The 27,667-nt window shown below is 36.2% G+C and overlaps 1 protein-coding gene and 1 long non-coding RNA gene across 14 annotated transcripts in view; one reads left to right on the top strand and one right to left on the bottom strand.

Moving 5' to 3' along the window:
• NDST3 (N-deacetylase and N-sulfotransferase 3) overlaps nt 1-27,667 on the bottom strand; it is a 225,313-nt gene that overhangs the window by 164,757 nt on the left and 32,889 nt on the right. Inside the window, exons 1-2 of one of the 12 annotated variants that reach the window (XM_047416414.1) lie at nt 5,742-26,904; nt 1,841-1,888 (exon numbers count right to left, since the gene is read on the bottom strand). The exons of 10 other annotated variants lie outside the window; for them this stretch is intronic. The gene's annotated coding sequence lies outside the window, so the exon portion shown is untranslated. Of the gene's footprint in view, nt 1-1,840; nt 1,889-5,741; nt 26,905-27,667 lie in introns of those variants that run through there. One more of the 12 variants, XM_017008841.2, reaches the window with a different exon arrangement.
• The window catches only part of LOC107986307 (uncharacterized), a 149,690-nt gene that overhangs the window by 110,549 nt on the left and 11,474 nt on the right, over nt 1-27,667 (top strand). The gene's annotated exons all lie outside the window — the stretch shown is intronic.

Below are 27,667 nucleotides of genomic sequence, written 5' to 3'. Positions count from 1 at the left end.
TGGTGCCTTGACCTTGGAATTTCCAGCTCCCAGAACTAAATTTCTATTATTTATAAATTACCCAGTCTGTGGCATTTTGTTGTAGCAGTACAAATGAACTAAGGCAAATTTATTCTTTAAGAAAGGGTTTCATGCTCTCACTTAAAAGTCACTTTATTTTACATACATATAGGTCTAACAGGCCTGTGATCTGGTTTCCAAGAATATAGCAGATTAGATACGATAAGTTAGGAATATACATAAACTGATTGCGAAGAAAGATGTTAAAGAACTTAATGGAAGAGTTAGGCAGAAAAAGTGTAAATCAGCACAAAAATTAGATACATATATAAGTTAGGGTACAGGCAAATGGCTAGATAAATCTTTATAGCTTCTGAAGCTTCACTGAATTATAGTCCCATCACTGATGTTCAATAATAATGAACATGGTAAAGGTGAAAAATTAGAAATTGTGCCACAGAATTAATACATCAACTAATTAATTCCATATACATTTATTGAGTGCTTACTATGCATCATGTCTTGTGTCAGTTGCTGGGATAATCAAATCAAATTAGACCCATGATCCAGTGACAGCATGTTTTGAGGAGAAAAGGAGATAATATCTGGGAAAAGCCTTTTTTATTCTGTGAAGCGATAAACATATGTATAAAAAATTAATATAATCTAAAATAAATTTTCTGAAAAATGGCTATCTTAGAAGTCAAATGCCATTCTTGAATGAATTATAGATGAGTCAAGCAATTTTAGGAATCCATTCATTCTCACTCAGTTCCAGCGCACAGCCCTTCTCATTGTTAGGGAAACACAAGATTATTCCTGTTTCTGGGCCTTTACTCATGCTGTTATTTTCTCTGCCCCTAAGTCTCTTCCTCAGAGCATCACTTTTAAATTCACATTTCTTTTATGTCTCTGCTCAAATATTACCTTATCAGACAGGCTTTTCCTGGACATCCTTATAAATGTAACAACACTTCTCTATTTTCTGAGGCTCAGACTTCTCTATTTCCTTTGCCCTGCATTATTTTCTCCACAACACCTGCCAGTGTCTGATACGTTATGCTATATACTTACTTGTTTAGTGTTATCTATTCCTATTGAACATAAGAAACATGAGAACAGGGAGCATGTGTGTTCCCTTCACTACAGTTTGCCCAGTGCTATGTAGTAGGCACTCATAAATATTTATTGAATGAATAAACAAATTAATTAATGCTTCTGACCTGAAGTTTAGAGTAGTTTAGACCTGAAGCTGAGGTACATTTCTGGGGCCAAAAAAGGAACTAAAATTGTGGAAAGATATTTCCAGAGAAGGTGGACTGGAAGTTTGGAGGGTCAGTGAAGGGACAGTAGAAAAAGCAAAAAGATAATGACTCAAGAAGGAAAGAGAAAAGGCCAGCTGACTTGAGGAATCAGAATCAGAAACGGCCTGCTATCTCACAAAGATTTCATGCCTAATCAAGTACCAAAATAACTTATTGTGACTTTCTGACAATATTCTAATTGGAAGGTTCTTGAGAAAGGTAATTAGTAGTATGGTTTTTAGAGGGAAGTTTCCTGGGCTTGAATCCTAGCTCTAAGGACACTGAGTAACTTTTCCCCTTGGCAAGTGCCTTTCCCGAATCTTAGTTTCCTTGTTCTAAAAAAAAAAACAATGAAAATACCTACCTTAGGGATAGCATTAGGAGATATACCTAATGTAAATGACGAGTTAATGGGTGCAGCACACCAACATGGCACATGTATACATATGTGACAAACCTGCACATTGTACACATGTACCCTAGAACTTAAAATATAATAAATAAATAAATAAATAAATAAATAAGAAAATACCTACCTCACAGAGTTGTAAGTTTTGGACTACATAATATTTAATGCCTCATAGCTGGAAACATAATCATTACAATAAAATTTTAATGCTGTATCCCAATTCTATAAAAAGGATTTAAAGTCATCATAAGTATGTATAACAATAAATATGATAGACATTGCATATAAGTGATTAAGAAAAAGAAAAAACATAGTAGAGATTATAAAATGAAGTCAATTATAATACAAATATAAAAAATACACAACAATACTTTGGGCACTAATATTAGGTCTATATGGGCTCTAGTTCAGTAGATGTGGTGGTGATAGTGGGGCACAAACATATTGCTACTGTAACAGGAAAGGGTAGAGATCCCAGGAGTTCCTTCATAGAAATACTCTTCCATTCCCTCAGTGAGTGAAAGCAGGAGAGGTTTGGCCACCAGAACCTGAGTAGAGAATCCTCTGCTTGGGGTCAGAGTAAGGATGCATCACATTACTCATGATTATCACAAAGAAGGATTTAGAGCTGGAAGATACCTTCGAAACTGCCATGCTCAATTTCTCAAACTGTTGCAGGGAAGCTTCTCTCACTAAACAGGAGGATGAACATATTACTGCCTATCCCTCATACTCCTGAGACCCTGCTGTATAGACTCACATGGTTTCTACAAAGAAAAATATTTTCGAGGGATCTTATGGTTTATCTGCAAAATCCTAGCAGATTTTGCAATGATCTGCTAATGATCCCTAAATTTTTTTTTCCAACTTTTATTTTAGGTCCAGGGGATACATGTGTAGGTTTGTACATGGGTAAATTGTGTGCTGTGGGGCTATGGGGTACAAATTATTTCATCATCCAGGTAATGAGCATGGTACCCAATAGGTAGTTTTTCATCCTCACGCTACTCCCACTCTTCACCCTCAAGTATCTATATCTGGTATCTATATCTACTGCTCTCTTCTTTGTGTCCATATTCTAACAGCATTTTTGTTTTTTTTTTGAGATGGAGTCTCTCTCTGTCACCTAGGCTGGAGGGCAGTGGCACGATCTCATCTAACAGCATATTTTTAAATGTTCACCAGTTAAGGCATAAAACGAAAAAAGCAAAACAAGAAAAAAAGTTTTTTGTTTAATTTGTAAAATATAATTGTAACTATGTACATATTTTATCTCTTTACATCTCATCCAATCAGACCCTTTCATAAAACTCTTCTATGTTATAAAGGCTCTAGAATTTTTGTCTGAAATTCTGCTAGACTAAAGAAGCCTCTTTTAATACTGAGACCAGCTCATGAGACATTTGAAAATTGCTTATGTGTGACATATATATCCAAGAAGAAATAGCTCCTTTTTTTCCTGATGTTTTTTCTTCCTTCGAGTGAAGAAAGATGAAAAATTACAGGTTCAAAATAAATAATTAGATCAATATCAGTATGCAGATTTCAGCATCATGTTTTGTATTTATTTGTTAGTGAAAAAATAGCATCTTGTTTTGATTGTTATCCCAACTTGTACCATTTCAAGCCTCTGCTGTAAATAGAAAGAAAGTTCATTAATTCGTATTTTGTTTAATTAAAGGTCAAAGAACTCCCAGCCAATTATCATAGAATTAAAAAACTCCCATTGCTGACTTCATATTCATCTCAGGGGCATTGATAGGATGGGGCAATCCATTCCAGTTTAGAATGAGCCTTTCAACTGTTTACAAATGCCTCCTAAACAGATTTCCCAAAGCAGAACCAAATTTTAAATTATATTTGCTCTGAAACTTTAACTTGCTGTTTAAAATATTTGATATTCACCTCTTTGTGAAAAAAGTAGGATCAAATGCAGAACTGCTCAATGCCTTCCAAGCTCTGTCAGCAGGAATGTGCTAGTTATATAGGTGTAGGTATAGGTGGTTTTAACGGCTTCTTATTCCTAATGGGGATGTAAGGAATGCTTTAAGACAATGTCGTGAGGATCAGATGGTCCTTTGCTATGGTTGCCCCATGGACTATGGATATATATTTGTTTTATTCATTTGTGGTAAGTGGCAGGTGGTCTTTTTCTATTGGCACTCTAACCCTTTGTGCCTTTTCCTCTTAGGTGTGCTCTTTGAGCAAAAGCAGGGCTGACATTTATCTCCATGATGGAGTAAGCTTGACATGGGCTTCTTCTTTGACAAGATATTCTTTTATAGTTATCACCTCTGCTTTCACCTTGTTCTCAAAGTTTATGTCTTACTTTTCATCTGCTCAGGATGAATAATGTGTTCCTCCTTACATAAAGCCCTTCTCACTCTAAATATGTCACCTTTTATAAAATACTTTTTCATAGGTCTTTCATTTGGGAAGATGTTGGGAATACACTCCAGATCTTATGTATAATTGGTGTGGGGCATTCAAATATACACAGGTGAAGCATAAAACATAAACTTCAATGTTTTAGTCTTTGAAATAATTAACCAATATCTGAGATCACATTTGTTTATGTTGTAGCCTCAGACCAATCTCAGTATTTCTTCTAATAATAACTTGTAGGTTTGATTTAAATTTTGAGTTATAATTGGTCAGATGACTCTTAAACTGGGAAAGATGCCACGATTTTACCTATTTAGGCCACCACATAGTCGTTTGCTTTCAGTGACCCAGTTCAGATGTAAATCAATGACCTTTTAGTGACACCAGAAGTCCAGGATAACATGTATTCCTTAATGGAAAAAGTTTTTTTTCTTTACAAAGATAACTTCAAAAAAATGTAGTAAATGATAAAATTGTCTAGGTAACTATATAAACCCCTTAAGTTCTACATTACTGTCTGCATACCATGGAGAACATAATAGATGTTCTATTACTAAGGAAGAGAGGATTTAAAAATCCACTTATTTTGTTACCAAATAAATTATATCTTAATTTAAAATTCCAAATTTATATCTTTAGGAATTCATTTTATCCATGTCTGTGTTTACTATAGAACAATGATTTAGAGAAAAACTGGTTAAGAAACTTTCAAAATACTTTAGAATGTGTTCCTTTTCCACAAATGTTTCCAATATCACAAATTCCAGATAGGAGTTAAATTGGTCATTTCCTGAAACTATGAAACTCAATTGCTTTAATTGAGTAGACCTAGAAACCTACAATTTTCTTTTGTCTATCTTAAGGGGACTCTAATGATAATATCATAATAGAGGCAATTAACTATCAGAGAGCCAGCAACGGTCTAGACATGGAAGCTGTGAGTTAATACCTAAACTTCTCAACCAAGGCATAACTGTCAAGAAAGTTACTATCCGTCTTGTTCTTAATTTTTCTGTTTGAAAATATGGATGAAAATACGCACACTGGCTTAGAAAGTGTATTTTAGAAAGACCCTTCATGAAAACGAGTCTTATTGGTAATTTGAACACAAACATTTTAGAGTTACCCCGAACTAAATTGCGGTTTCTTTGTTTCACAAGCTTGCTACTATGGGTTATGTAAAAGCTAACGTCATTCCAAGAAAAATTGCAAAGGTGCTGACTAGACTAGGAGTGAAGTGTTGTTTCTTCAGGTATCCTGGTACTGTGAGAAGGTATAATGTGCAGCCGATATTACCTTGGCTACTCATTATTTTGAGTCAGCTGAGAAAACAAAGTGCATTTGGTTGATGTAATTTTGAGTTTCATATTATTTGTATTCTGTAATTCTTTCCATCCACAATAAATACCTTTAGATCATCCTAGGAAAAAACACATTTTCTATTTTGACCAAAGTTTTAGTCACAGAAAATTATTTGAACATGAGTAACTGAAGATAACCCTAAAATTTTACTTTCATCAAATTCTGAATAGTGATTATTTTAAGACGGTATCCTTTAAAATATGATTTAAAGTTCTCTAATTGCTATTATTTTTATTCACAGTACATATTTTTAAAAATGGATACTACTGGGGCTTACTTACATGTCTGTCATTCCTGTTACTTGACTGGCATTTCACAAAAAATTCAAGTTAGTGGCTAAGGTTTTATTGCCAGCTGTTCCACTTATTTTCAGCTTCATCTGAATAAAGGTGGAAATTGAAACCAAAGAAAGAAAAAAATGATACAACGTTATAACTCTCCTCTAACATCCCTCATATGGTGAGTTTCCTTGTTATGAGAGATAGTCTCCAATTGAATCTAACTACATTCCACAGCTTCTACATGGAGAAACCTATCCCATTCAAGAACTGGTAAGGTCAACCTCCCATGCACTAAAATCTAGACTTCTGAGCTTGGAACTGTCTCTCCTTGGGAGAAGTGTCATAAGTCTGTACTGGCCTTAAGTGTGTACTTTAATTTTCTGTGTGCTGTCCTTTGTAACAGAGAGAGAAAACCTTGTATGCAAGGTTTGACTTATGATGCATTTTAGAGACACACATTCTCATCCTCTCTCCCCCTGCCCAATCATACATGTCAAGTATGGACATGGGAGAAGCTCTAGGTTGGCAGCCAAAATTTCAATTCTAGTAGACAGTGATGATTTGTGCCAGGCTCAAATTCCTAGGATAATCTGGAACTGATTAGAGATATTCACAGCTGAGAGAAATGTGTGTCTGAGAAACACAATGGGACTTCCTTTCAGGTTCCCTGAATCTGTGAATGTATAGGTGGAAGTGCTGATGGGAAGGGAAAGGATATGGAATACAGGGGATCTTCCAGGATTCTTTTTATCAGCTAGAAAGAGTTAAGACTTTCCCTGCCTTCGTAGTGATCTTGCAAAAACAGTAGCCAACTCAAATGAGATGATATGTAAAAGCTTTTTGAGAATTATAAGCAATTACACAAACATAAAAGTTACATTGTCCTTTTACATATCATCTATGTGATCTTTAAAACAACTCAAGAGAGAGAAGGCATGCACGATTTCACCACTTTACATTTAAGGAAACCAAAGCTCAGACATGTTAAGAGATTTCCTTAAACCCACACAGTAAATAAGAGGTTAAATGGAAGATTTAAACCCATATTTCCATATGGTCTAAGCTGTCTTGTCTAGAAACAAAAAAAAACTAAAAATATCCTGACCAATATTTCTAGTTATAACAATTTATCTAGGCAAATCTTTCAATTCATTTTTCTTAGACCATAAAACCACCTTTCCTGCCATAAGCGGTGCTTTTTAAATAACTTTCTGCATGAATATTTTTGTATTAGCATGGAAAGATAATGTGTTTTGCTAATATTATGTTTATTTCTTAGTCCACATTCTCCCCTTAATATATGTATAATCTTTCCTGAATATGAATTAGCCTTTCATTTTCAACTACAAAAAGCATTTAAAATGGTTTTAGGATTATTAGGCCAAGAAGCTTACCCAAACCGATGAAAGCATAGCATTTATGAGTTCCCTCATTTGTAGTATAGACTGTAGATTAAGGCCTGATGTCCTGCGAGTTAAGGTCCTAAAGTGCTCTATTGTGATTTTCCAACAAGCAAGAATGACTTTTACTTTGACACTAAATGTGATTTTTTGTCCTTAGGCCAAGATGGTTGGCAGATTGCTTTTATGTAATTCCTGTGAAGCTGGCAGGAGGTGACTCATATACATAAATGCCTCTTTCAATCAGGAAGAAGGTGTCAGAGGGCGGGTGGGTGGTGTCTGAATGACTAAGTTTTAAGATGTTAGGGGTACTGAAAAAAAATGGATTAAATTGAAGGTTTCTAGGGTGATGCACACAAGAGGATCTGGATCAGATCAATAAATGAAAGACAAACTTTGAAAAGATTTTACTACATTGCTAGAGTTTTAGTCTACATTTTATAACTCAATGCAAAGAAAAATTTCCAAAACGATTCATAAATTAAAAACAGCCCAAAGTTTAAACAAGGTCTAGGAATCAGACTTGATTGCAAGATGCTAAAATTGAAATATAAGTAAGTACATTGCGTGAAAGGGACAGAAGATTTATGGGTTTGAAAAAGCTATGAGAAAGTCACCTAATTTTCAGGTACAGCTACAGGGGAGGAGTATGTTCCTGAAAAAATAAAGACCTACTCACTGCCTCATTCAAGTAAAATAACAAAGCTTTCTCACAATGGTAGTCATATGGAACAGAATAAAAATGTCTGTTGAGAGAATAGAGGATTCCAGATAAATGCGAAGTAACGACATGACCATGTAGCTAGGCAGCAGCCCATAATGGCTGATGTTCTCAGTAAATGCTCAGCGGAACACATAAAAGCCCATACGATGATTGAACTCCCAGGGAAAGCTAAACAGGTTGACAGAATGAAATTCTTCATTTCATGGCTTTGTGTTCTGGTTTTCTCATGAGACCATGTTATGTATCTGTTATGTTTTTTTCCTCTAAAAATTTTAAAGAGGGCAAAGCAAGCAAAAAACAAATAACAACAACAAGCCACTACCTAACCCAAAGAGAAGCATATATAAAATTGTTACCCAACAATATTCATTGTTGTTACCCAACAATGAAACGAGAGTGTTCAACTTGAACAAGGGTTGGAGTTTGGATTCAGCAGTGTTATCAACAAAAGGTTGCAGCATTTTTTTCACCACTTATCATTCTGCATATTGTGTTCATTGATTGGCTTGCCCAATATTATAACATCAATCTATTATTTTCAGGAACTGTGTGATTATACTTGCAATTACAAACCAGAACAATTTCTATTAGTACTTTTTTTCTCTTAATATCTGTATAAAGATTATAGAGGAATTCTGAATGTCTTCAGGCAGTTTTGGGACTGTTGTCTGAACTCTTCCACTAGGCATTTATTTTATTTTATTTTAAAAGTTTCTTGATGTGGAGCATTTTTGAGAGCGCTAGAAGCATTTCAGAAGACTTTTGATATGGTCTGCTACTGTCAATAAAGATTTTAGGAGATACAAAACTTAATTCCGCATACTTGATTCTAATGTTAAGATTATTTCCCTATATTGGTTTTCATTCCAGTTGTTGTTGTTGTTGTTGTTTTTACGGAGTCTCGCTCTGTCGCCCAGGCTGGAGTGCAATAGCGTGATCTCAGCTCACTGCAACCTCTGCCTCCTGGGTTCAAGCAATTCCCTGCCTCAGCCTCCGGAGTACCTGGGACTACAGGTGCCTGCCACCATGCCCGGCTAATTTTGTTTTTGTATTTTTAGTAGAGACGGGGTTTCACCATGTTAGCCAGGATGGTCTCGATCTCGTGACCTCATGATCCACCCACCTCGGCCTCCCAAAGTGCTGGGATTACAGGCGTGAGCCACCGCGCTTGGCCCATTCCAGTTGTTTTTAAATAATGTTTAATTGGCTTTCGTGCAGAGTTGGTAAGAAACAAAATTCCTATGGAACTAAGTTAAAAAGGCATGTTTTTAACCTTTATTTGTTTGTGTTAGTGTAATAGTAAGAGTCTATCTCTAAAAGTAAAACACAAGTTCTTTCACTTTCCTGAATGAGGATTTTGTTATTATTGCAGGCTTATTATCACTTCATATTTTCTGTTTAATGTAATGTCCCTTGTAAAACCAACATATGACAGAACAGAGGTCATGCTTGCATTTCTCAAAGATGTCACACTGTCATTAAAGTTCCTGAGAGAGATTTCAGAAACACTAAACTAGGAATCAGGTACTTTCAAAAAGAGTGAGAAAAACATGTTGACTGAGCCTATGGATCCAGAAATAGGCTTTGGTACAAAAAGGGGCATTTGGGCCATAAGTTGCTTGGGCCTAACACATCGTGGATACTATTTTTTTAAAAATCAATTTTATCATGTATAATTAAGATAAACAAAATGATGTTATGGGATACATATAGATAGTAAAATGATTACTATAGTGAAGCAAATAACATATCCATCATCTCACATAGTTACCTATTTTTTTTTTGTTTTTATAGCAAGAGTAGCTAAAACCTACTCATTTAGCAGGAATCCGAAATACAGTACAATTTTATTAGCTGTAGTTCTCATGTGGTACATCAGATCTTTAGACTTGTTCATGCTACATATCTACTACTTTGTATCCTCTGAATTACATCTTGTCATTTCCTCAAAAAAGGTCAAAAATGAAGAGATGGATATCATTTTTAGAAGAATACAGGTGGAGGCATAATCTCTCTTTCCACTGTGAACCTATTGTTCTCATTGGCAATGGAGTCTACAGAGTAGAGAGGATTTTCTGTCACAAAGGCATAGTTAGTCCCAAAAGATAGAAAGATTGTTGAGGAAAATAAGACTGAATGGTTAAAAATTGTAAAGGCACAGAGTCAGACTAGAGTGAGACAGGGTTTGACTCCTGCTTTTCCATTACAAATGGTGTGACCTTCAGTAATGTCTGAATCTCGGTCCACTCATCTAAAAAATAATGCATTCTTTATGAGAATGCTGTTAAGAAGGAATGAAATAATACATGAAAGCACTAGGTCACATAGTCAACTAAAAACACATAATAAGTCTTCAAGAATATTACTTTCTTGTATCTCTACCCTTTCCTGATGAATGCCTCTATACCAACAAAAGGCAAACCAGCACTCCCAAGGTACATTTGGAAGTGGGCTCAATGGTGGTGGTTTAGTGAAGGGGGTATTTTAAGTACCTCTCATCAAAGGGTACTGACAATTAATTCTAATTAAAATTAACATTTATGGAGAAATGAACACTTAATGAATACCAGGCTCTGTGTTAAGCATTCTACATGGACTATCTCATTTAATCTACTCAATAATAAATCGAATTAAGTATTATATTTATTTCATTATACTGGTGAGGAAATTGAGTTACACATCGATTAAGTACATTTACTAAAAATTGAATTTCCATTTAGTTTAAGAAAGGATTTTATGGTATTCTTTGCAAGAAGACTTGATTTTGGGATTATGTATTCAAGTTACTAAGTCCATATTAACTGTAAAAACTCATGTATTGAAAACACTATTAAATTGTAATACACATTCATGAAGAAAAAGCATCAGTGGTGTTTTAAAATAATTCATGGTACTTGATATGGTTTGGATTTGTGTCCCCGCCCAAATCTCATGTCAAATTATAATTCCCAGTGTTGGAGGAAGGTCCTGGTGGGAGGTGACTGAATCATGTGGGGTTGATTTCCTGCTTGCTGTTCTGGTGATTGTGGGTGAGTTCTCATGAGATCTAGTTGTTTAAAACTGTAGCACCTCTCCCTTACCTCTCTCTTACTCCTTCTCTGGCCATGTAAGATGTGCCTACTTCCCCTTTGCCTTCTGCCATAATTAGAAGCTCCCTGAGGCCTCCCCAGCCATGCTTCCTGTACAGCCCATGGAACGGTGAGTCAATTAAGCCTCTTTTCTTTATAAACTACCCAGTCTGAGGTAGTTCTTCATAGCAATGCGAGAACAGACTAATACAGTACTCTTACATTTATGCATATCTTGTGGGCAGAGACACTTAGTGCCTTTGCTCTGTACTGTTGTTTTGAGGACATCTGTAAAAACAACCTTGGAAGATAGAGATAGTGTCTTTCTTTGTAGTAAAGAACAATTTTGTTTATTTTGCAGCATAAAAAGACAATATTTACTTCTGTGGCAAAGGTCACTCAGGCTTACTGTCCATTATAAAATATTTGGTTTCCCTAAGCTTAGAGTTCATCTCCTATAATGCAACCCACTGTATGTGCAGGTATCATCTGGCACTCTTCACATCACCCTGTAGGAATTAGAACTTGGAGTACATGCTGCTACTCTGGCTAACGCTAATGCTGTGAGTAATAAAGTCCTTTTCTCTTTGATCTAAGAGTGTTGCACCTTCTGCCAGCAACCATGAAACTATGTCAGGGTGACTTGTTAGTTTGCAAGTGAAATCTCAAGACTCTTCACTGCTCTTGACAAGTGGCAAAAGGAAACTTGTAAGTATCCATGGACAGCAAAAGATACAGTTAATTTAGGGTACTATCTGAAGCATTGGCACGAGGATGTAAAAATACTCGGGAAAAATAATCACCCCCAAAGGCTGTGTTTTGTGACGTACCAGAGAGACTTTGTGATAGGAATTTGTGTGTGTGCTTGCAAGGAAAAGGAGAGGGTAAAGAAAACATACTGCTTGAAATCATGGAAAACTAATAAATATACATGGCTGTAAACAGCTTTCTAAAGGCAGGTACATTGTGCTGAACATGATTTATGTGTTTGCTCCTGGCTTGAAAATGAGCATTGGTACTAGATTCACCAAAGCTGTTAAATTCTTCTGAGGCTCAATGCTGCAGGAAATTGTTCCATATCTATATTCTCAGGAAGCCAACTGGCTGGCTTTTAACTTTATGCAACTTTTTTATCTGACAAATTGAGTGGAGAAAGAAGGGTTAATTTACTGGCAGGTATAATTCACAGCTAATAAATTGTAACAAGCATCAGGAAGTAAAGAGACAGTAGCATAATGGGGACACAGCAAAGAGGCATTTTTTCCCTTTAAATGTACTTAATTAGCACAGTTCATCCTCTGGGGGGCAGGAAATAATGAGCCCATAACAGCCTTTGCCTCTGGATGCTGCTAAGTCTGTTTAAAAGCAGCAAATTACTACAGTGTAAGAAATCCCTCCTGTTACATATGAAGGATCTTGTCACACATATTTTCATTAAGAAAGAAGTAAATTTATGTATGTAAAACTAAGTACATTTTTTATACTGCAATGTACTTTTGTATCAACAGATCTCTCTCTCGCACACACACACACAATCACTTGCATTGTATGCATCATTTAAAAAATAAACTGAGTTTTATATGCACATAATTGTGAGCTATGTCCTGAGCATAATGAATTCATAAGTGCAAAAACCTTGCATAAAAATATAGTGTATTTTTTAGGAGAGATAAGGAAACTAATATATGAGTATCCAATTTATGCCATAAAAGATATGGGTTCTCGAACTTTAGGGTTCTTCTTCTATAATGCCACACATTGCATGTGCATGCATCACCTGACCCTGTTCACATCACAAAACTCATTTAGACCTTTTCAAACTCCATGAGGTAGGTATTATTATCATTCCTATTTTAAAGATGAGATGGGTTCACATGCGTAAGTAAATTGTTCTGGCTTCACAACTTATATAGATGGGAGATTTGAGCGCAAGTTTGCCTAAGTCTAAAGCCTCATTATCTTTTCACTTTACACCCCTTCCTTGTGCAGTAGAAAAAGACAGGTTTTAGGAAGATAAGTTTATTTATAAGCCTAGATTCATCTTTGGTTTTCCACAGGGTTCACATTTTCTCCCTAATAAAATGAGTTCAGTTTATCTTCTTCCTTAGAGCAAAATAATTCATGTCCTCAGTAGCTAGTCCTTCATATGGTGCCATGGAAAACACAGATTATTCATCATAATTTCTTTAAATAATTATTCCAGCAGACATTTATTGAGGGAGCCTATGTGTATTACTCTGTGCTAGGAAGAGTGAAGGACATTAAAAAAATATGGCACATAACATCACCATGAGGGACCTATAATCTGATGGGAGAACATATGGGTGAAATGTAAAATGGAGGGCAGTTTGTGATCCAGAACTTCAAATGAGACTTTCGTGAATTAATTTAGGAATAGGATGTTCCCTAAAAATAAAGAGTGAAATAAAGAATTCATTTAGACTCTCAAATCATTTCTGTGAAATCTAAGTATATGTGGCCATGACCTTCATGGTGACATACCCCAGGGATGATCCTCTTTTACTCTCTTCTCTACTGTCTTTTCCCAGATGATTTTATCCAGTGGCAGGAATTTAAATACTATCAGTATGCTATTGAGTTCCTGATTTATATCTTTCCTCCCAACATCTCTCTGAACTCTAGACTCGAATACCCTATTGCCTGCACATCTCTACTTGGACATCTAAAAGGCACCATAGATGTAGCAACTGTAGAAGAGAATTCTTGCTCCCACCCTCCCCATCCCGTTAATAATAACTAACACCAGGTACTGTTTTAAGTACTTTACACGTGTTTATTAATTTAATCCGTAAGGCACATCTGAGTAATAAGTGCTGCTATATGATTCTAATTTTACCAAAAAGAAAATTGATACAGAGGATCAGGTGATGAAGAGGGGATGCAAACTTAGTGTTTGTCCACAGTGCATGTCTCACAACTACTGCAGTACAGTCTCTTCTCTAGGGCTCCCCAACTGGAGGAACACACTGCTGTCAGGCCAAAATCCTAGGAGGTATCCTTGATTCTATTCTTTCCTAGTGCTTCCCACATACCATCTATGAGCAAGTTCCTTTAGCTACATTTTCAATATGTCTCAAGCCCGTTAACTTCTCACCATCTTTATTACCACCGCTATCACTTGTTGGGTCTAATTCAGTAGCCACCTGCCTGGACTCTCACCTTCCATTATTTTTCTACAGTCCATTCTCCATACGACAGCCAGTATAATTTTAAGAAAACCTAAATCAGACCTTATTATTCCCTTGCCAAAGATATCCAATGGCTGCTCCCTGAAATCAGAATAGAATCCAAATTCCTCTCCATGGCCCACCAGACCCCACATAATCTGGTTCCTGTCTGTTTTTCTGAATTCCTCTCATCCTGGGCTCCCTCACATTCACTGTGCTCCACGCACACTGACCTTTCTTCTCTCTCTCGATTACACCAGGCTTGTTTCATAATAGGGCCTGTTTCTTTTGCATAGAACTCTCTTACCTTATGTATTTGTGTTTATTGTAGGCTATTCTCCTCTTTCATGTCTCAGCTCACATGTTATACCAGAGAAGATTTCCCTTTCAGCTTCTCTAAATCAGCATTCCCCTTGTGCTCAACCTCCCTGGCATATTCCACCACTCTGCATCCCACTGACCCTGTTTCATTTTCTTCGTAGCTCTCTTATTCCTATAAGATTATTTTATTTGCTCAGGTTCTTATGTGTTTCTTGTCTTTTTCCTCTCATTAGAGGTAAGATATATGTAACCAGCAGACTTGTTCATTTTGGCTACCACTACACCACCAGCTCCTAGAACAATGCCTGGCACATAGTAGACACCAATTAATATTTTTTGAGTGAATGGCCAAAAATGGTCTAGTTTTCTTGTAGCTGACTTTATACTTCTGAAGCATTTATAAGAATTAATTTTACTCATTTTAGTATTCCTTCCAAAATGCTGCTCAAATATATTCTCCCAGTACATGTTATGTTCACAGTAAAAAAAATAGTGTAAATATTGAGGGCCAACTTGTATTAGGCATTTGACATAGAGTGTCATTCTCACTTTCATGCTATGAAGTAAGTGTGATTCTTATTTTAAAGATATGGAAACTGATGGTGAAGTGGGTTAAACACTTGCCTAGGGTTACTTAAATGGAAAGGGGCAGACTTGAGATTTGGACCCACACTGATTTTTTTTTTTTTTTCAGAGTCTGGCTCTGTTGGCCAGGCTGGAGTGCAATGGTGCAGTCTTGGCTCACTGCAACCCCTGCCTCTCAGGTTCAAACGATTCTCCTGCTTCAGCTTCCTGAGTAGCTGGGATTACAGGCATCCGCCACCACGCCCAACTAATTTTTGTATTTAGTAGAGACAGGGTTTCACCATGTTGGCCAGGCTGGTCTCGAGCTCCTGACCCTCGTGATCCACCCACCTCGGCCTTCCAAAGTGCTGAGATTACAGGTGTGAGCCACCGTGCCCGGCCACTGATCTTAACTCTCAAGCTATTTTCAGCAGGAATATTATATTCACCTATGCAACTGGCTAGAAAATGTAAATAATCAGAAAGATGAAATGATGAGAAGCCTTTCAGTCTATAAAAATGTGGAAGTTGGGGAGTTTGGGTCAGCATGGCAGACTAGAAGCAGTTCACGTGTGTCATTTTCACTGACTAGTGAACACTGACCCTACAAGCTGATCACCTAAAAAACCACATTGGGATCCATCAAGGCAGCAGGGAGACATAGAGAGCAGAGAGGAGTGAAGCTGGGCACCAGCCTGTCTGGGCTGAGTGCAGAGGCCAGAAGAACCTCTCCAAAATGGGAAAAGGCAAGTGAGTGAGAGCCCCGTGGGGTCCTGTGCAAGACTGGGAATGAAAAAATCCCCTGGCTCTCCTCCATGCCCGCTCCATCCCCCACACTTCTAAACTGAGGCACAGAGCCACCCAGAAGTTTTACAGGGGCAACTCTTGAGTCCAAGGGGAGTGATCTTCTGTTGTCCTGAAAATCACCTGGACAGAAGGGCGGGCAACCCCACTCACTCCTGCCACTGGTAGCCAGGTGGGCCATGCCTGCTAGAGCTTACAGCCCAGCAGACTGCTTCTACCTGAACTCGGCAGGCAAGCACAATCCCATGTTCCCCAGGAAGTACTTGGATAGCAGATTAGGTGGGCTCCACCCACTCCTGCTGCTCATCGCCAAGTGAGACTTGCTGGCTTGGGTGGTGCCCAAGCAGGAAGGAGCCCTCACTCTTGGATCACTGAGAGAGATGAGATGCCACAGGCCAGTGGAGGCATGGGGTGTACCTCCCTCCGAAGGGCCAGCTGGGCAAGTATATTACCTGTCTGCCAAACGTGGTCCCTGCCTGAGGGACCTCTCTGGACCAGAACACCCAAGAAAAGAAATGCAGGCATAAAGCCAGTGATTGGAGGGGGCTCTTCCAAGACCCAGGAGCAGATTAGGTGAGGGTGTCATCTCTCTCCCCTGCTACCACAGAGCACAAAGAGCCATGCCGCCAAGAGTCTATCTGCTAACACTCTTAAGCGCCATCTACTGGACCACAGCCCAAAATACAACACCAAAATATTTTGCCAGTATGTTCTATCTGTGAAAACGAAGGCAGAGGTTTTTGCTGGCACCCCACCCCAACTGACGCATGTGCACCCCAATGCACCAATGCAGCTGTTGGCACATGTGAATGAGTATGGATCCTGTTGCCATTGCCCCAGTGAAGCACTTTGGCTGGCACCCCCCCATCAGAGTGTGGCCAGTGGACTAAGAACACATTGGCCCTTCCTGCGCAGCAGGTTCCTTACCTCAAGAGGCCAGATAACAAAGCCAAGGGCCCTGTACCAGTTCCTCAGAGTTAGAGCATGTAGCCCAAGATTGCTGAACTGAGCCTTGGCCCCCTGAAATCTTTCAGAATTGAAGCCAGTCAATTGAACCAACCTTATACCACAATCAAACCTCAAAGAGTATCAAAGAAGATAAAAGCAAAAACCCCATCAGCAACATCAAAGACTAAATGATCATCAGCTCACACAGATGAGAAAGAACGAGTGCACAAACTCTGATAACTCAAAAAACCAGTGCCCTCTTACCTCAAAACGACTGAAGTAGTTTTCCGGAAATGGTTCTTAACCAGGCTGAAATAGCTGAAATAACAGGCGTAGAATTCAGAATATGGATAGGAATGAAGATCATTGAGATTCAAAAGAAAGTAGAAACTGAATCCAAAAACTCTAAGGAATACAACAAAACAATACAGGATCCAAAAGATAAAACAGCCGTTTTAAGAAAGAACCAAACTGATCTGATAGAGCTGAAAAACTCGCTGCAAGAATTTCATAATATAGTTGAAAGTATTAACAGCAGAATAGACCAATCTGTGAAGAGAATCTCAAAGCTCAAAGACTGGTTTTCCTAATTAACTCAGTCAGATAAAATTACAGGAAAAATAATAAAAATAATGAACAAAACCTCTGAGAATATGGGATTATGTAAAGAGACCACATCTGTGACTCGCTGGCATTCCTGAAACAGAGAGAAAATGAGCAACTTAGAAATCATATTTGAGGATATCATCCACAAAAGTTTCCCCAAACTTGTGAGAAAGGCCAACATTAAAATTCAGGGAATTCAGAGAACCCCTGTGAGATACTATACAAGATGACCTTTCCCAAGACACATAGTCATCATATTCTCCAAAGTTGACATGAAAGAAAAAACATTAAAGGCAGCTAGAGAGAAGGAGCAGGTCACCCACAAAGGGAAACCTATCAGGCTAACAGCAGACCTTTCAGAAGAAACCCTCCAAGCCAGAAAAGATTGGGGGCCCATTTCAGTATTCTTAAAGAAAAGAAAATCCAACCAATAACTCATATCCAGCCAAACTAAGCATCATAAGCAAAAGAGAAATAAGATCCCTTGCAAACAAACAAATACTAAGGGAATTTGTTACCACCAGACCTGCCTTAAAAGAAGTCCTTAACTTCATGACTAAAACACAAAAAGCAATGGCAACAAAAGCCAAAATAGACAAATGGGATCTAATTAAACTAAAGAGCTTCTGCACAGCAAAAGAAACTACCATCAGAGTGAACAGGCAACCTACAGAATGGGAGGAAATTTTTGCAATCTACCCATCTGACAAAGGGCTAATATCCAGAATCTACAAAGAACTTAAACAAATTTACAAGAAAAAAATCAAACAGCCCCATCAAAAAGTGGGCAAAGGACATGAACAGACACTTTTCAAAAGAAGACGTTTATGCAACCAACAGACACATGAAAAAATGCTCATCATCACTAGTCATCAGAGAAATGCAAATCAAAACCACAATGAGATACCATCTCACACCACTTAGAAGGGCAATCATTAAAAAGTCAGGAAACAACAGGTGCTGGAGAGGATGTGGAGAAATAAGAACACTTTTACACTGTTGGTGGGAGTGTAAACTAGTTCAACCATTGTGGAAGACAGTGTGGTGATTCCTCAAGGATCTAGAACTAGAAATATCATTTGACCCAGCCATCCCATTACTGGGTATATACCCAAAGGATTATAAATCATGCTACTATAAAGACACTGCACATGTATGTTTACTGTGGCACTATTCACAATAGCAAAGACATGGAACCAACCCAAATGTCCAACAATGATAGACTGGATTAAGAAATTGTGGCACATATACACCATGGAATACTATGCCATAAAAAATAATGAGTTCATGTCCTTTGTAGTGACGTGGATGAAGCTGGAAACCATCATTCTGAGCAAACCATCGCAAGGACAGAAAACCAAACACCGCATGTTCTCACTCATAGGTAGGAATTGAACAATGAGAACACTTGGACACAGGGCGGGGAACATCACACATCAGGGCCTGTCATGGGGTGGGGGGATGGGGAAGGGATAGCATTAAGAGAAATACCTAATGTAAATGATGAGTTAATGGGTGCAGCAAACCAACATGGCACAGGTATAGATATGTAACTAACCTGCATGTGGTGTACATGTACCCTAGAACTTAAAGTATAATAATAAAAAAAGAAGTCCTTAAAGGAGTGCTAAATATGGAAATGAAAGTCTTTTGCTGGCCACCACAAAAACAGATGTAAATATACTATATAGCAACTACACAATCATGTATGCATAATATCCCACCAAAAACACAATGAGAGGATCAAATTTGTACATATCAGTATTAACCTTGAATATAAATGGGCTAAATTCCCCAATTAAAAGGCACAGAATGGCAAGTTGGATAAAGAAGCAAGACCCAACTGTATGCAGTCTTCAAGGACACATCTCACATGCAGTGACACCCATAGCCTCAAAGTAAGGGATGGAGAAAGATCTGTGAAGCAAACAGAAAACAAGAAAAGCAGGAGTTGTTATCCTTCTTTCAGACAAAACAGCCTTTAAACCAACAATGATCAAAAATGACAAAGAAGGGCATTACATAATGATAAAAGGTTCAATTCAACAGGAGTTAACTATCCTAAATATATTTGCATCTAACAGTAGAGCACCCAGATTCACAAAATGAGTTCTTAGAGATCTATGGAGGGATCTAGATAACCACATAGTAATAATGGGAGACTTCATTGAGGCAGAAAACTAACAAAGATATTCGGTACCTAAGCTTGACACTTGACCAAATGGACCTAATAGATATCTACAGAACTTTCCACCCAAAACCAACAGAACATCGTGTTTCACATTTGCACATGGCATATAGTCTAAAATCAACCATGCAATTGGCCATAAAACAATTCTCAGCAGATTTAAAAAAACTGAAATCATACCAACCAAACTGTCAGATCACAGGGCAATAAAAATAGAAATCAATACTAAGAAGATCATTCAAAACCATACAATTACATGAAAATTAAGCAACCTACTCCTGAATGACTTCTTGTAAACAATGAAATTAAGTCAGAAATTAGGAAACTATTTGAAAATAATGAGAACAAAGATACAACCTACCAGAATCTCTGGGATATAGCTAAAGCAATGTTAAGAGGAAAGTTTTTAGCACTAAATGCTCACATAAAAAGTTAGAAATATCTTAAATGTAACATCACATAAAAAGTTAGAAATATCTTAAATGTAACATCACACCTAGATGAACTGGAAAAACAATAGCAAACCAACTGCAAAAGTAGCAGAAGACAAGAAATAACCAATATTGGAACTTAATTAATGAAACTGAGATGTGAAAAAATGAACTGAATAAAATTGAGACATAAAAAAGCATGTAAGAGATCAACAAAACCAGAAGTTAGTTTTTTGAAAAAATAAATAAGATCAATAGCTAACTAGACAAATAAAGAGAAAAAGAGAGAAGATCCGAATAAGCAGAATCAGAAATCACAAAGTGGATAATACTACTGACTCCACAGAAATACAAAAAACCCTCAGAGGCTATTATGAACACCTCTATCCACAAAAACTAGAATACCTACAAGAAATGGACAAATGTCTGGAAACATGCAACTACCCAAAATTCAACCAGGAAGAAATTGAAACCCCGAACAGACCAATAATGAGTTCTGAAATTGAATCAGTAATAAAAAGCCTACCAACCAGGAAAAGCCCAGGACCAGATGGATTCACAGCTGAATTCTACCAGACATAGAAAGAAGAACTGGTACCATTCCTACTGAAACCATTCCAAAAAATTGAGGAGGGACTCCTCCTTAACTTATCTTATGAGATCAGCATCATTCTGATACCAAAACCTGGCAGAGATACAGTAAAAAAGAAAACTTAAGGCCAATATCCAGGATGAACACAGAAGCAAAAATCCTCAACAAAATATTAGCAAATCAAATACAGCAGCACATCAAAAAGCTAATCCATCACAATCAAGTGGGTTTTATCCCTGGGATGTAAGGTTGGTTCAATATATGTAAATCAATAAATGTGTTTTATCACATAAACAGAATTAAAAACAAAAACCACATGATTATCTCAATTAATGCAGAAAAGCTTTCGATAAAATTCAACTTCCTTCATGTTAAAAACCGTCAACAGACTAGGCATTGAAGGAACATACCTCAGAATAATAAGGGATATCTATGACAAACCCACAGCCAATATCATACTGAACAGGCAAAAGCTGGAAGCGTACCCTTTGACAACTGGAACAAAACAAGGATGCCCACTGTCACTACTCCTATTCAACATATTCTCTGGAAATCCTATCCAGAGAAATCAGGCAAGATAAAGAAACAAAAGGCATCCAAATACGAAGAGAGAAAGTCAAACTATTTCTGTTTGCAGATGATATAATTTTATATACAGAAAAACCCAGTATCTGCCTAAAAACTCCTAGATCTAATGAACAACTTCAGCAAAGTTTCAAGATACAAAGTCAATGTACAAAAATAAGTAGCATTTCTGTACACCAACAACATCAAAGCTGAGTGCCAAATCAAGAACACAATCCCATTCACAATAGCCATTCACAAACCAAAATACCTAGGAGTACAGCTAACTAGGGAGGTCAAAGATTTCTACAAGGAGAGTTGTACAACACTGTTGAAAGAAACCAAAAACAACACAAAGAAAGGAATAGCATTCCGTGCTCATGAATAGGAAGAATCAATATTGTTAAAATTGCCATATTGCCCAAAGCAATTTACAGATTCAGTGCTATTTCTATCAAACTATCAATGACATTCTTCACAGAATTAGAAAAAAAACTCTAAAAATCATATGAAACAAAAAAAAGTGCCTGAATAGCCAAAGCAATCCTAAGCAAAAAGAACAAAGCTGGAGGTATCACATTACCTGACTTCAAACAATACTAAAAGGCTATAGCAACCCAAACAGCATGGTATTGGTACTAAAACAGACATATAAACCAATGGAACAGGTTAGAGCACCCAGAAATAAAGCCTCACACTTACAACCATCTGATCTTCATATAAAAAATGTTCAACATCCCTAATCATTAGAGAAATGCAAATAAAAACCACAATGAGATACCGTCTTACACCAGTCAGAATGGCTATTCTTAAAAAGTCAACAAATAAAAGATGCTGGTGAGGTTGAAAAGATGACATACAGTGCTAGTGGGAATGTGAATTAGTTCAGCCACTGTGGAAAGCAGTTTGGCAATTTCTCAAATAACTTAAAATAGAACTACCATTGCAACCGTATTATTGGATATATACTCAAAGGAATATAAATTGTTCTACCTTAAAGACACATGCATGTGCATGTTCATGGCAGCACTATTCACAATAGTAAAGACATAGAATCAACCTAGATTCCCATAAGTAGTAGACTGGATGAAGAAAATGTAAATATATGCCATGGAATATCATGCAGCCATGAAAAAGAACTAGGTCATGTCCTTTGTAGAACACCCCAATGGATGGAGCTGGAGGCCATTATCCTAGGCAAACTAATGCAGGAAGAGAAAGCCAAATACTGCATGTTCTCACTTATTAGTGGGAGCTAAACAATGAGTACATATGAAAGCAAAGAAGAAGGCAATAGACAACAGCACCTACTTGAGGGTGGAGGGTAGGAGGAGGGTGAGGATCAAAAAACTAACTATTGGGTATTATGCTTATTTCCTGAGTGGTGAAATAATCTGTACACCAAACCCCTGTGACATGCACTATACCATATAACAAACTTGCACATGTACCCTTGAAGCTGAAATAAAAGTTATAAGAAAATATGAAAGTCAAGATAAGAATGGTTGAGGTCAACGATTATAAATCATGCTGCTATAAAGACACATGCACACGTATGTTTATTGTGGCAATATTCACAATAGAAAGACTTGGAACCAACCCAAATGTCCATCAATGATAGACTGGATTAAGAAAATGTGGCACATATACACCATGGAATACTATGCAGCCATAAAAAAGGATAAGTTCATGTCCTTTCTAGGGACATGGATGAAGCTGGAAACCATCATTCTCAGCAAACTATCGCAAGGACAAAAAACAAGTTCATGTCCTTTGTAGGGACATGGATGAAGCTGGAAACCATCATTCTCAGCAAGCTATCGCAAGGACAAAAAACCAAACACCTTATGTTCTCAGTCATAGGTGGGAATTGAACAATGAGAACACTTGGACACAGGGAGGGGAACATCACACACTGGGGCCTGTCATGAGGTGGGGGGAGTGGGGAGGGATAGCATTAGGAGATATACCTAATGTAAATGACAAGTTAATGGGTGCAGCACAGCATCATGGCACATGTATACATATGTAACAAACCTGCACATTGTGCACATGTACCCTAGAACTTAAAGTGTACAAAAAAAAAAAAAAGAATGGTTGAGGTCTACAGAATTGAGGGTTGAACACATAGATGACGGATTTGATAAGAACCACAGGCTGGGAAATTTGTTTCAAATTAAAAGTAAGCTTATGGACTGTATCAAAATAATAGACTGTAGGGAGTAATCATATGAATACCTACAGAATATTTTAAACAAGTTATATAACAGATGGATAATGTTATTCAGGGAAACCAGAGAGTCTTGGAATTCTCTGCCTCACCAGAAGTCAGGGAGGCCAACCAGCCTTCTCACACATGCATTCACTGGGGCTGTTATGTAAAGCATACCATGTGGAGGAAGGATGGGAATCCTAATTCTCAGAAGCAGTGTTCTGTTCACCCTATTTCACCATATAATTACTCTGCTCAAGTCAATTGGTGCTGGGCTTTCCTTAGTAATGTTTTAAAGAATTTCACAGAGTTAGAACTGGTCGAGACCTTAGCAATGATTAAATCTAATTGTCTAATCCCAGGAAAAGAAACAAACCCAGAGATAAAGATTTATGATTTGTAAAGTGCTTTCACACTCATAGGTTTGCTGCATTCTTATTTCATTGCCATCTTTGCAGGGGAGAAATGAGCTCTGAGAGTACACATTTCAGTAAGTTGCTCACTGCAGGAACACTGTACCAGGTGCTACAACCTGGTATCTTTTGAAAGAGGTTGTATCAGCCTTCCCCCTCTATGATATTAATAAAACTTTTTAAACTTAATTTGTAATAATTAAAACTTCCTGGGAATATAAATACATAAAGGTTAAATAACAACAAAGGAACATGCTGTTCCATTTATGGAGTGTGAAATAAGAGGAAAAATAATAACTGGTCAAAAACAAACACTCCAATGGAAAACGATTGACAAGAAACAATTCTCAAAAGGGGAATACAAATGGACAATAAACATAAGTGACCATATTAACTCTTTCTTACAAATACAAATAAGAATTAAAAAATGAATGAAATAAAAAATTTTACCTATTAGATTTGCAAACATTAAAGATTGACTAAATCCAGCGTGTAGAGAGACTGAGGAGAGAATTGCTTTTTGCTTTCTTCTTTGTAGTTTTCTATATTAATTATTTTCATTACAAAGTGCGTGGATTGTTTATATATTTAAAATAATAAAAATTTATTTTCATTTTGGACATTTAGACAAAAAAACCCCAAACAGGGCTCACTCTAATTGTAGTTTCTCAAAGGCGAATGTTTAAAGCTTCCCAAGGTAAAATTTCTTCATTCAAAATTACTTCTCTTGCTAACATTTAAAAAAATCACCTAATGGGGTACTCTATCCCACCTATATAATTCAACCTCAGATCTCTTTTGTAATTTATTTGCTATTTCATTAGAAGCACATTCAATTAAACCTGAAGTATAATTAACCTCTCTCTCTCTCTGTTCCTTCCCCTTTAGGAAAACAATTCCCATTTCTCTATCCTAACTCTTACACCTCCTGATCATAACCTTCTCTGCTGGAATCTTTCTTCTGACTGATCTGATGCACAGGTTCCTGAAAGATCACAGAAGCAATGTACCTTTCATTACTTTGTCAAAATTATCCAGTGTCCTCTTACTAGGCAATACTAACAAGTCATCCACTTATTGGAATTACTTTCTTCAATCTTCTGTTTCTGTCCCTTCATGTAAAATGCACTATATTGATCTCCATAGGCAGTTTTCACATGTACACATATTTGCCAAAATATTATCACACTGTCTTGGTACATGGTTCAAAATAACTAAATGTAAGAACTCTTCCAGCATCAGATTAAACTCAGTCACAAAACTATTAATTCTATTGTGACCTCTTTCCATTATATATTTGCTTATATATGTAAAATTAAATATTTTTATACAACATGATTTTAAGATACTTTCTACAGGAAAAAATAATAGGACCCAGGTCTTCATATTTTACAATAATATCAAATGTAGTCTATTTAAACCTATGTTTCCCCAAATGTGCATTTCTACTACCTGCATTAGAATCATCTAGGTGATCTGGGCCCCTCACTTCCCCCTGATCTACCAAGACAAAAATCTTTGAGTGTGGAATTGGGGAATCTGCATTTTTAAGCAAACATTTAAAGTGATGTTTCTTGGCTTTTCCGTGGTTTGGAAACTCATGAAAATTGTCTTGTATTGATAAGTGATTAAATGCATCTGAACATCACAGAGTAAAAGAATGATTAAGAAGAAACTAGTGACGAATTCTTGAACCATTTCTTTAAAAAAAATACAGTAGGACTTTGCTTTCTGTTCATTTACAAGTTAACAGTAGATTCATCACTGGTGCCCAGTAATATCTGTGTTTTAGGTTCATCAACAATAAAAGTACAGGTATACTTGGGTGTGCTGGCATGGGCCTGTGGTTTTAACTACTTGGAAGGCTGAGCTTGAGCCCGGGAGTTCAAGTTCAGCCTGGGCAACATGGTGAGACTCTGCCTCAAAAAAAAAAAAAAAAAAAAAAAAGAGATCAAGTATAAGCTGTTGACTATGTCATATGTAAGTGACCAGAAGGATTAGTTTTAATTAAGTAATAACTTTGCTCCTTAGAGACATTCAATTACAATAGAGAAACAATCTGAAGTCTGCTGATGGCTTGAAAACAAAGATAATTAATTACTCTCATAGACTTTCCTTGCTTTTGAGGATGTTGCACTGAAATTGTGTCAATTTCTTTTCTTTTTTTTCTTTTTTCTTTTTATTTATTTATTTACTTATTTTAAGTTCCAGGATACATGTGTAGAACGTGCAGGTTTGTTATATAGGTATACATGTGCCGTGGTGGTTTGCTGCACCTATCAATCCGTCACCTAGGTTTTAAGCCCAGCATGCATTAGCTATTTGTCCTGATGCTCTTCCTCCCATCACCCCCACCCTCCACACTGACATTGTGTCAATTTCTAAGTACGGAGCAGTGAACATAGGCCCTCCTAGGCCTCTTCAGAGGCTCTGAACTATTCTGAAGTTTGATGAACAGCCTCTTGCCACTGGCATCCTTAAAGATAGATTCCACTTAGGTAAACATAACTTTTTTGAATACAATGAGCAGCTGTGTCTTCTTTGAGAATGGTGACTGAGTACTAATTAGTTCTTGCAAAGTGCAAATGACAATGCTATTGGAGATATGCTTCTAGCAGGACAGTCCTAGCAAGAAGGAAAAATGTGTCTTTAGTTTTCCATTGTTCATTTGCCCCTCAGTTAGAGCAATGACAGTGTCCCTGTATCACATAAGAAATGACATAGACTGGGAAAGTATTTTCTCCCTTTACTTCCTTTAAATACTTATTGCATTTCTAGAGCAGATTAGCAAATTATGTCGAGATCCTTTGAATATTAACCTAACTTACTTTTTTAAAGCAATCACACTAGAGTTAAAATGGGTTTTCATTATAATGTCTTTTTCCTGAAAATATTGTCAAATAATTTTTGTTAAATGTTATACAAAATTTCCTAGAAGTATTTTTCAGCATATCAGAAATCTGAGTTTGGCAGGATATAACTATTCATTACCCCATTGGCAGCAACTCTAATCTTCATTTTATTGTCAAAACCACTTGAATTCATTTATTCAAGAATATCAAGTAAGTTGTCTTTCTCTGTGAACTCAACTACTTTGTCTCTTAGGATTCTTAGATAAAAATGACTCTGTTATATGTTGTTCTAGCACTATATATATATATATAATATATAACATGTTATATATAATGTATATATAATATATAACATGTTATATATAATGTATATATAATATATAACATGTTATATATAATGTATATATAATATATAACATGTTATATATAATGTATATATAATATATAACATGTTATATATAATGTATATATAATATATAACATGTTATATATAATGTATATATAATATATAACATGTTATATATAATGTATATATAATATATAACATGTTATATATAATGTATATATAATATATAACATGTTATATATAATGTATATATAATATATAACATGTTATATATAATGTATATATAATATATAACATGTTATATATAATGTATATATAATATATAACATGTTATATATAATGTATATATAATATATAACATATTATATATAATGTATATATAATATATAACATATATAATGTATATATAATATATAACATATATAATGTATATATAATATATAACATATATAATGTATATATAATATATAACATATGATATATGATATATAATATATAACATATGATATATGATATATAATATATAACATATGATATATGATATATAATATATAACATATGATATATGATATATAATATATATAATACATAATATATATAATATATATAATACATAATATATATAATATATATAATATATAATATATATAATATATATAATATATAATATATATAATATATAATATATATAATATATTATGTATA

The sequence above is a fragment of the Homo sapiens genome, chromosome 4, assembly GCF_000001405.40.
Source record: "Homo sapiens chromosome 4, GRCh38.p14 Primary Assembly".
NCBI classification, from domain to species: Eukaryota; Metazoa; Chordata; class Mammalia; order Primates; family Hominidae; genus Homo; species Homo sapiens.
The sequence above is the reverse complement of the archived record's forward strand: the minus strand, read 5'-3'. Positions and strand labels throughout refer to the sequence as shown.